Below are 11,817 nucleotides of genomic sequence, written 5' to 3'. Positions count from 1 at the left end.
ACCTCCAAGGCTTTGTTTATTCCTTCCAGACAAAGGTCCTATAAGCTAACAAACCACTTTTTTTATGTGCACTGATTTTTTTTTTTTTTTTTTTTTAATGACTCAATTTGAGTCCTGGAAAATTAAGCTGGAAAATACAACTTTAATGCTAGGAGTCTGTTTTTTGCTCCTCTCTTTGACAGCCCATTTAGGGGAGGAGTTAGCCCTGCTAAAGAAACATTATTTGGCAAATAATCTGATCAATTTCATTTATATTCCCGGCAATGAAATATTAAGAGCCTACCTCACCATTATGTCACTTATATAGTCCAGAGTTCTTGGTAGGAGATTAAATTTTGAACCAAAGATCCAATTTCATGGAAATAAAAAGTCTTACCTAAGTGCATTAGATAGATCCTTAGTAGAGTAGTTAATACCATTAAATGCTGGACTGTCAGAATCATGAATTATCCATTCAGACATGATTTTGTTTTTCTTTAACTCAGGTTTTTTAGAGGCTGGGTCGTCCTAATTTCTTTTGGCCATTCAGTACTGAAATTTCCTGTGTTTTAGAAAGCAATGATGGGAAATGCCATGCTGGGCCAGCAGTTTATATAAGATAGGAGTTTGGATATGTCAGGTACTTATATATTTGATCGACTACGAGGACAAGCAGAAGGGATATTCTTAGTAAAGTTATTTTTTAAAACGATACAACATTGACTTAGCTACAGTCTTGAATCTTTTGAATGGCATGAAGAGTTGGTTAGTAAGGTGGTTAGAAAGTATTGTTAGAACAGAATAGAAATAAACTTTTCTTTTTTGACACAGAGTCTTGCTCTGTCACGCAGGCTGGAGTGCAGTGGCGCCGTCTTTGCTGACTGTAACCTCTGATTCCCGAGTTCAAGCAGTTCTTTGCCTCGTCCTACCGAGTAGCTGGGATTACAGATGCCCGCCACCACACCCGGCTAATTTTTGTATTTTTAGTAGAGACGGGGTTTCGCTATCTTGGCCAGGCTGGTCTCAAACTCCTGACCTCGTGATCCACCTGCCTCGGCCTCCCAAAGTGTTGGGATTACAGGCGTGAGCCACCGTGCCCAGAGGAAATAAACTTTTCAAATGAAGCTGTCTATAGTTGAACTCTGTTGGATAATATATGCTGGTTTATGTTAAAGACCCAGTCTACTTTCAGACCCCATCTACTCTCATCCCAATACGGTTTTTAGTATGCTGTTTTCTTGTTGTGTTGATAGGTCAGGATTTACCATGGTTTACCACCTTTACATTTGCAAGGCCATGGCTAGAGAGGTTAAAGAGTTGTGATGTAAAGAAGCTGAGAACAATGGGTAAGATGACTCGAAATACTCGGAGAATACCTATATGCCAGGCCCTGTGCTACGTGCTCCCACATATTTATTCTTTGCTACCACTGTGAGTCAGCTCTTCCTCTTTCACAGCTGAGGAAATGTACTCAGAATGGTTAGGTGGCTTGTCCAAGGTTACGCAGTGATGGAGTAGTACACTAGGATTTGACACAAGACTTCCAGCTCCTCAGCATTTGTTGTCTTTGGAATCTCCTTCCTGCCAACAGAGCAAGAATGAGTGGAGTTGGGAGAGGGGGAGTTTTAAATGCTTGCTGCTTGATATTTTTATTGAATGTTGTGGTTATGAACAAGGGTGTCAGGCCATCCTGAAAGAGTCAGTTATTCCATAAAAACCACACAAGCAGAAAACATCAGTTGGATTGTCTCCTGACTTTGCAATGGGATCTTTCCCATATGCCTCAGAGATCATGGAGGAACTTTGGGTTTACATCCAGCATTGGCCTCTTGGGCTAATGCTGAGCATGAGTTGCATGAAGCGTGTTCTCACTCACGTATCAGAGTTAAGCAGTGTAGGCCATCTGGAAGAGAAAACAAACTTGAGATTTCCTGGGTGCAATTTGGAGACCTTCCATTAGGCCACAGCACACTGGGACAGTTGGACAATGTGCAAGCTTCAGCCCTCATGTCCTTGTGTCAGATGCACTTGGGGGGAGCAAAGGAAACAGATTTCCTTTCTTTTTGATACACATAACTTCCCAGCTTGGACTTAAGGTAGAGCTGAGATGTCAGTGGAGTTCTATTATAATTCTCCATCGAATAAATTAAATGGCCTACTTTTGTCACCTCTGAGGGACATTAAGTAGAGATAAACATTTTTAATTAAAGCCATTTGAGCCATGTCTACCTATTTTTTTATGGTAGCCTGTAGAAAGATGCTATTTTAATTTCTTTAAAACACAGCTCTTTGCCTTACTTAAATACCATGAAAAACTGAGTATTGAAAAACCACATTTTTTTCTTGGATCTTGCTTATTTGAAAAACAGCATATAGAAAAGTCAGCTTTTCCAGAAGTACTTATGCTCCCGAGGGCTGAAATTTTTCAGAAAATAAAGGCCATTTTGTGATTCTTTTTTTCTTTTTTTGAGATGGAGTCTCGCTCTGTTGCCCAGGCTGGGATGCAGTGGTGCGATCTTGGCTCACTGCAACCTCCGCTTCTCATGTTCAAGCAATTTTCCTGATTCAGCCTCCTGAGCAGCTAGGATTACAGGTGCGCACTACCACGCCTGGCTAATTTTTGTATTTTTAGTAGAGACAGGGTTTCACCATGTTGATCAGGCTGGTCTCGAACTCTTGACCTCGTGATCCACCCGCCTCAGCCTCCCTAAGTGCTAGGATTACAGTCGTGAGCCACTGCGCCCGGCTGTGATTCTTTTTTAAAAGTGAGAGAAACAGACAATGGCTGTTGTATTTTATTGTCATAATTTTGCAAGAAGATTTAAGAGCAGTTGAGTGAAATTCATTATTTTAGGAGTGGCTAAACACTAGGTCATTAAAAATTAATTTAACAGGTCCATACCCCAGAGGTATTGTAGGTTTGGTTCCAGACCACCACAGTAAAGCGAAAATTACTAAAGTGAGTCACACAATTTTTTTTGGTTTCCCAGTACATATAAAAGTTATGTTTATACTATACGGTGTGTATTCAGCATGCAATGGGATCTATATGCAATAGCATTATGCCTGAAAAAACAATGCACATACTTTAATTAAAAACACCTTATTGCTAAAAAATGCTAATGATCATCTGAGCCTTCAGCAAGTCATAATCTTTTTGCTAGTAGAGGGTCGTTCCTCCATGTGGATAGCTGCTGGCTGATCAGGGTGGTGGTTGCTAAAGATTGTGGTGGTTGTGGCAATTTTAAAAATAAGACAACAGTGAAATTTGCCATATTAATTGACTCGTCTTTTCATGAAAGATTTCTCTGTGGCATGCAATGCTATTTGATAGCCTTTTTTTTTTTTTTTTGGAGACAGAGTCTCAGTCTATTGGCCAGGCTGGAGTGCAGTGGCACAATCTCAGCTCATTGCAACCTCCGTCTCCCGGGCTCAAGCAATTCTCCTGCCTCAGCCTCCTGAGTAGCTGGGATTACAGGCGTGTGCCACTACACCCAGCTAATTTTTGTATTTTTAGTAGAGATGGGGTTTCACCATGTTGGCCAAGCTGGTCACTAACTCCTGACTTCGTGATCTGTCCGCCTTGGCCTCCCAAAGTGCTGGGATTACAGGTGTGAGCCACTGCGCCTGGCCTTGATAGCCTTTTACTTATGGTAGAACTTCTTTCAAAACTGGAGTCAATCCTCTCAAATCTGCTGCTGCTTTATCAACTAAATTACATAATAGACTGGATGCAGTGGTTCACACCTGTAATCCCAGCACTTTGGTAAGCCGAAGCAGAGGGATTGCTTGAGCCCAGGGGTTCAAGATTAGCCTAGGCAAGATGATGAGACCTCGTCTCTACAAGAAATAAAATAAATTTACATAATATTCTGAGTTCTTATTTGTCATTTCACAGCTAGAGAAAAGTAGTCCATGCCCAATTTCAAGACTTCAAGGGACAGGCTGGCTCTCTTGTTAGGAGCTAATGCAGCTAATGCAAAGAATCTTCACCAGAAGCAGACTCTATCTCAAGAAACCACTTTCTTTGCTCATCCATGAAAAGCAACTTATCTGTTCAAGTTTTATCATGAGATTGCAGCAATTCAGTCTCAACTTCAGTCTCCACTTCTGATTCGAGTTCTCTTGCTGTTTCCACTGCATCTGCACTTCCTTCTCCACTGGAGTCTTAAACCTCTCAACGATGTCCATGAGTATTGCAATCAACTTCTTCCAAACTCCTGTTAATGTTGATATTTTGACCTCCTTCCACAAATCAGTGTTTTTAATGGCATCTTGAATGGTGAATTCTTTCCAGAAGGTTTTCAATTTACTTGGCTCACATTCATCAGAAGAATCACTATGGCGGCTATGGCCTTATGAGATGTATTTCTTAAATATGACTTGAAAGTCAAAATTATTCCTTGATCCATGTACTGTAGAATGGAAGTTGTGTTAGCAGGCATGAAGACAACATTAATCTCTGTGCACCTCCGTCAGAGCTCTTAGGTGACCAGGTGCATTGTCAATGAGGAGTAATATTTTGAAAGAAATCTTTTTTTCTGAGAAATAGGTTTCAACTGTAGGCTTAACATATTTAATAAACCATGGTATAAACATGTGTGCTGTCATCCAGGCTTTGTTCCATTTATAGAACACAGGCAGAGTAGATTTAGCATCATTCTTAAAGGCATTAGGATTTTCAGAATGGCAAATGAGCATTGGCTTCAACTTAAAGTCAGCAACTGCATTAGCTCCAAACAAGAGAGTCAGCCTGTCCCTTGAAGCTTTGAAATCGGGTGGACTACTTTTCTCTAGCTGTGAAAGTCGTACATGGCATCTTCTTCCAACAGAAGGCTGTTTGATCTACACTGTTGTTTAGTGTAGTCACCTTTATCAATGATCTTAGATAGATCTTCTGGAGAACTTGCTGCAGCTTCAACATCAACACTTGCTGCTCCACTCTGCACTTTTATGTTATAGAGATGGCTTCTTAACTTAAACCCCATGAACCAACCTCTATTAGCTTCCAACTTTTCTTCTGTAGCTTCCTCACCTCTCTCTGCCTTTATAGAATTGAAAGAGGCTGGCTCTGGATTAGGCTTTGGCTAAAGGGAATGTTGTAGCTGGCTTGGTCTTCTATCCAACCCACTCAAACTTTCTCCATATCAACCATAGGCTGTTTTCACTTGCTTATTTGTTCACAGGAGTAGCACTTTTAGTTTTCTTCCAGGACTTTTTCCTTTGCATTCACGAGTTGGCTAACTGGTGCAAGAGGCCTAGCTTTTGGCTTATCTTAGCTTTCGACATACTTTCCTCACCAACTTTCGACATACCTTCCTCACCAACTAACTTTTGACCTAAAGTTGGAGATGTGTGACTGTTCCTTTCACTTGAACCCTTAGAGGTCATTGTAGGATTATTAATTGGCCTAATTGCAAGATTGTTGTGTCTTAGGGAATAGGGAGGCCAAGAGAGGGCAAAAGCCAGTTGGTGAAGCAGTTGGAACACAAACCAAATTTATCAATTAAGTTCATCATCTTATATGGGCACAGTTTTTGGGACCCCGAAATAATTACAATAGTTTACATCAAAGATCGCTGGTCACAGATCACCATAACAGATAATATAATAATGAAAAAGTTTGAAATACTGCAAGAATTACCAAAAATGTGACAGAGACACGAAGTGAGCATGTGCTGTGGAAAAATGGTTCCAGTAGTCTTCTTAATGCAGAGTTGCTAGAAAAAATATCTATGAAGCAGAAGAAAGTGGAGCACAGTGAAATGAGGTATGCTTGTAGTCTTTGTTTTGTGCCTTTTATTTGAGGGAAACCGCATATCCCTTATGACTGGGTGCATGTTTTGAAGTGAGCTTAGGGAGTAGATCAAGTTCACAGATCTCTGAAAAGCTACAGGGATGGAGCATGGGGGTTCCCAGCAAGCCTCTTCACTTCAGGGCTGCAGCCAGGGCTGGGTGTGGACAAGGGGAGCAGTAGGGAGCAGCTGGGGGAGGATTTAAGTGTTCACCAACTATCTGGAGTTTCCAGATTCTCTAGGGGACTAGCCTACTTGTCATAAAATGCTGGGAGTAGGAATATTCCAATAACTGTTTCCATAAACATTTACTTTTTTTTTTTTAAAAGGTAATCTAGGCACATGGGGGAAAAATGGAAATAGTCCAAAAAGGTATAGAGGAAAAAAAGTCTCTCTTTCCGGGAAACAGTTCCTTGGCCAGGGTTTTTGGCCTTGACTCATTCTCTTGGGGGAGTAGGTGAGGGAAGGCGAGCAATCCTGGAAAGTCAGCACTTCTAGGATGAGAGGCGTCCTCTGGCTGTTTGGCATGTTTGCTTGATCATTTCCTCCTATTTTTATGCTTATTCATCCTGTGGCCTGTGTTCTCCTTGACATGCCTATTTTCTTTTCCACCCTCCTGTGGGGAGAGATAACATTCTCAGGACCTAATTCTCATCTGATAAGTTTTATTTTTAACCAACTTCTACACCCTTTCCTCTTTGCTTCTTATTTTCATGGGCCCATATACTTCTCAGCCTTCTCTGGCTTTCTCAGGAGGCATGTGCAGAACGTCTGGTATGGTATCTTGTGCCAGGGTTTTTCCAAATGGGAGCAGCTGGTCAGGGTACTGGGAACCTGGCTTGGCTTCCAAGAGCAGGGAAACTTTCTCCTCTGCACATGTTCCTGTTTTTAACCAGGCAATTCACTCTTACCTCCTGCTTCCTCTCTGGGCTGTCTGTAAATTTCATTTTATCATAAATTTATATTATCTTGATGAAGGAAACCCGCTTAAAAAACAACAAGACAGCTGTGACTTGCAGTGATGAGTGTGGACTAGTCTCCTATCAGCAGCAGTTTTGTAGCTGCTTAAGGCTTCCACAGTGTGACAACTAAGCCATGAGTTTACATGATGATTCTTGGTTTGAGATTTAATCAAACTAAACCAGTTGTCCACCCAAATGAAGAGAAAGGGTGTTTTGTTTTGTTGTCACGTGATCTCCAGTAGAGGCTTTCCCAGACAAGCATGTTAGGAGTAAACTGTTAGCTACTTAAGTATATATACATTCTTGGGTTTTTTTTTAAGCCTTTGACCCACCACTCCCCTCTCCCTAAATATAACTAAATATGGTTATGGCCGAAACTTTTCAAACTAACATCAGGGTGAAGAGGAACTTTTTAACCTGGAGAGGGGAATGGGGTTTGCAGGGACTGGCTGCATTCCCCAGAGAGAGGTGTGCATGGGAATGCTGCTCTCAACTTGAACTTCATGGCCTCCAAATGCATTTTGTTCTCAACGGACCAGTTGTCTCTCAAGTACACTTGGCTCTGTTGTGCATGGTGTATGCAGTCACTAAGCATTTCCTATAACACTGTATTAGGCACTTGGAAACAAGAGTTTAAAAAAATCCATGTTGTAGCTTCACAGGATGAAAGATTATTACCAAATGACTTAAGAATACTACTAACAAAATTACACACCTCATCATGGTGTAGCAACAGATCCCAGGAGACACACATGAATTAGGATAATTGGAGGACAGTTAAATACAGGCACATTTTACCACAGTAGGGAGGGTATAGGAAAACCACAAGGTGGGGAGGGTCTAGGGAAACCCTAGTGCCGTGCCCTAGGCTGCAACAGCAGGTGGTACCACCACTCAGAGGCAGGAAAGGGTGCGGGGTATGGGAAGAAATCAGTACCCAGAAACAGAGAGGCCCGCAAGAAGAGAATGAAGGGAATAAACACCGCGGCCTTCCCCTTTTCCCACTTCAGACCTGCAGGAGCACATCCCGGGCTAAACACATCTAGAAGTTAGCAGTCAATGGAGTCTGTTGACATAGCCTGTGCAGGTCGAGCTCCCGTGGCTCAGAGTAGGGCCATAAGGATAGAGAATGTGGAGAGGCAAAGGGAAAACAGTCGACACAGATGGCCTCCAGAGTTCACATGATCCAGCCCTGCCTGCTCCTCACAGCCTTTCTCCTACTAGGCTTTCCCCTATTTGCTATGTTCCTGACACTGCCATTTTCCTCTTCTTCAAACAAGTCAAGGTTGTTTCTGCCTCAGGGCTTGCACTTCTTCCCTCTGCCTAAAGTGTTCCTCCCTTTTCTACTTTCCATGGATGATGATGGGCCATTTAGATCTCAGCTCCTTAAAAAGGATTTCCATCCTAATGTTGCTTCCATCTCACCTGCCCATGGTCTATCTCACTATCCAGGTTTTACATTTAAGAGAGTAATGAAACAGTTTTATTTTAAAATGGTGATGTTTACTATATACTGGAAGTCGTATTCCTTGTAGCTATTCAAGCTTAAAGTGAAAAATCTAGATGTCAACCTTAACATTATGCAGTGGGTACCTGCTTGTATGAACCTCACTGGGAATGTGCAAACTAAGACGTGTGGACATCACTGGCAGGGCATAACCGCTCAACAGGGCCTGCTGGAAGGAATGAGTCATAGAAGGGAATGTCTCGGCTTTTCACCATGGTGATCTGCACTGCATTTCCTTCTCTACAAAGACCTATAAAGTCTCCTCCAAGGGCTTCAGAAAGATCCCACCTCCCTCTGATGGCCACACCCTGGCCCATTCTAACTCAGGTGGATATAAAGGAACCACAATTTGAAATGACTACTTTGGTTCCACCTAAGGATTGGTTTGTGTGGCAGACCAGGGTCATTTCCTTGTCTGTCAGAAGGCTCTGTCATGTTCCTTTCAGGCATCATCCACCAGGAGTGAGGTTTGAGGAGCCAAGCCTGGGTGGGAGCAATTTGAAGATTGTATTGCACTTGATAATTTATGGTGAGTGTTTGCAGCATTGTCTCATTCAGAGATGGACATGAAGCTGTTCTCAATGGCCTTCCTCCAAGTGCCATGATGTTCCTGACTTGAGCAGGCAGCCAGGATGCACCTGCACTTTCACTACCGGCCTGCAACAGGGCAGACCTCCATTCTGATCAGTGGGGCCTGTGCCACCTAGTTGTTAAGTATATTCATGATCACACCTGGTTTTTGGGACAGACACATCAGTTTTGGTTTGGAGGTCAAAGTTTTATTCCATGTTCTGCTGTTACTTGGTGGGCCACCATGCTTGTCCTCTGGTGGTGCTCTCCTAGTGACTGGGTTCAAGAGGAAATGTCATGGACATCTAGAACAGGGACCAAAGCCACACTGGACTAGAACTGGAAGCCAAGAGAACAGTTAGGACTGAGGAAACTCTCAGGGCAGCCATCTGACTCTCTCTGCCGCCCCGCTCTTCTCAGCTGCTCAGTTTCTTTTGGACCCTGGGGCCCCACGTGACTTTCTAGCTATTCCAGCTGCCTTCAGTTTTCCAATTCTCAAGAAAAAAATATGATTTACAAAGTTCATCTTTTTTTTTTTTTTTTTTGAGACAGAGTCTCGCTCTGTAGCCCAGGCTGGAGTGCAGTGGCGTGATCTTGGCTCACTGCAACCTCTGCGTCCCGGGTCCCAGTTCAAGCAATTCTCCTGCCTCAGCCTCCCGAGTAGCTGGGATTACAGGCACGTGCCACCACGCCCAGCTCACTTTTTTTTTGTATTTATGTAGAGACGGGGTTTCACCATGTTGGCCAGGCTGGTCTCGAACTCCTGACCTCATGATCCACCTGCTTCGGCCTCCCAACGTGCTGGGATTACAGGTGTGAGCCACTGCACCCAGCCATACAAAGTTCATCTTCATGAGCCAGACCAGAAGTCTGGATGGACTGCCTGACCTCTGGCCACATGTTCACAAGTGCTGTAGATGGAGGGGATGGGGTAAAATCATGGGGTATCCTATCCTATATGGCTGTTTAGAGCTGTTTCTCTCAGAAGGGGATGTGGGCAGAGCAGGCAATGGCAGGCATTCCTTTTCTAGGAATATAAGCAGTAGAGCCGATGTGCTTTGCCTGGCATAGTATAAGAAGTTTCAAGAATCCTGTCTGCCCCTAAAGTATCCTGCAGGACCTGAAGGCAGTACCTGACTTGAATTTCTGTTATTATTCACTGAAGGGCTAGTATATTTATTCATCGACTCTAGAGTCATTCAGCACCGGGGTTAGGTTCAGGTATAGGAACCCATTCCATCCCCTCCAGATCACATAGGAGCCCTTTCCCTCTTTTGGTCTGTCAAAAACAGAAATGAGGCTGGGTGCAGTGGCTCACACCTGTAATCCCAGCACTTTGGGAGGCCAAGGCGGGCAGATCACAAGGTCAGGAGTTCGAGACCAGCCTGGCCAACACAGTGAAACCCCGTCTCTACTAAAAATACAAAAATTAGCCAGGCATGGTGGCGGGTGCCTGTAGTCCCACTTACTTGGGAGGCTGAGGCAGGAGAATCGCTTGAATCTGGGAGGTGGAGGCTGCAGTGAGCCGAGATCCCACCACTGCACTCCAGCCTGGGTGACAGAGCGAGACTCCATCTCAAAACAAAATAAAACAAAACAAAACAAAAAAACAGAAATGAATACTGGGTGGGTTTATCCAAAGGAAAGTAAATCAGTTTATGAAAGAGATACCTGCACCCCCATGTTTATTGCAGCTCTATTCACAATAGCAGAAATATGGAGGCAACCTATGTCCATCAGTGGAAGAACTGATAAAGAAAATGTGGTGTACACAGAAACAATGGAATACTACTCAGCCTCAAAAAAGAATGAAATCCTGTCATTCGTGGCAACATGAATGAGCCTGGAGGACCTCATTTTAAGTGAAATTAGTCAGGCTCAGAAAAATACCAAATATTCATATTCATACGTAGCGCTAAGAAAACCATTGAGCTCATAGAAGTAAAGCGTAGAACTGTGGTTATTAGAGACTAGGAAGGCTGGTGGGGAGGGGAGAGGAGGGGAGGGGAGGAGAGACTGGTCAACAGACACAAAGTGACAGCTGATGGGAGAACAAGTTCCAGTGTTTTGTAGCACTGTGGGTGAATATAGCTAGCAACAATTTAGTGTATATTTTCAGAAAGCTAGAAGAGAGGATTTTGAATGTCCATAGCACATAAAAAAAATGATAAATGTTCGAGGTGATGAATATACTAATTACCCTGATTTCATTATTACACATTGTATACATGTATGGAAAATCACTCTGTATCCCATAAATAGGCAAAATTATTACATGCTGACTAAAAATAAAAGGAAAATAAAATAAAATCAGACCCATATTTCACACCACATGCAAGAAAAATCTCCAAATGAGTTTGAAATTTTAATGTAAAAAGTGATAGCATGTAAGCAATGGGTGATTTCCTCATTAACCTTGATGTACATAAAGGCTTTCTAAATATAACTGAAAATTCAGAGACATAATTAATAAATTTGACTATATTAAAAAAACCAGAAGTGAAGCAATTCAAATCACTTGTCACTTAAGAGGTGAACAGTTACAATTTGCTAAAAGTATACTTTTTCATCCTTCCAGGAGTGTTAAACATTTTGGTGAAGACAGGTCTGTTACATCAGCTTGTGGAGGTCTCAGCTGAGGGTCAGTGTCCCTGAATTTCCCTCCGTTCTACTCACTGGGCTCTGCTGCCTCCACAGCTGCCTGGACTGTGGCTGCAGAACACACGGAGGAAAGGAGCCGGGGACTGGGGCTCTGACTGAGGGACCAGGGCAGATGCACACTCCCTGACCCTACAGCTCTTACCAGTCTCATCCCATGGACTGTATCTGCCAATCCCCAGCAGGGCCAGGTTTCTAGTTTATGTTAAACTGGAAAGGTAACAGTCTTAGTTATTATCAGTTCCATGTTGGTTGTTACTAGCAAGCAAGGGGAGATGGTGACATGGCATACTGGCTGACTTCAGATGACAGGGGAAGTTTGAGATTGCTGTCACTGCTTGTTTGG

General features: G+C 42.9%; 2 annotated features.

Moving 5' to 3' along the window:
• Positions 6,326-6,470: an enhancer, noted in NCBI's record as "145 bp enhancer 110 fragment used in the MPRA reporter construct; PK_construct_4281". NCBI's record gives its function as "activates an SV40 promoter by MPRA in K562 cells {active_cell/tissue: K562}" and the evidence as "EXISTENCE:reporter gene assay evidence [ECO:0000049][PMID:23512712]".
• Positions 6,400-6,407: a transcriptional cis regulatory region, noted in NCBI's record as "GATA motif; enhancer activity is reduced when this motif is scrambled". NCBI's record gives its function as "necessary for full MPRA enhancer 110 activity {active_cell/tissue: K562}" and the evidence as "EXISTENCE:site-directed mutagenesis evidence [ECO:0005528][PMID:23512712]".

Source organism: Homo sapiens, chromosome 14, assembly GCF_000001405.40.
Source record: "Homo sapiens chromosome 14, GRCh38.p14 Primary Assembly".
In the NCBI taxonomy this organism is placed as follows: Eukaryota; Metazoa; Chordata; class Mammalia; order Primates; family Hominidae; genus Homo; species Homo sapiens.
Note: the sequence above shows the minus strand (reverse complement) of the source record. Positions and strands in the feature narration are given on the sequence as shown.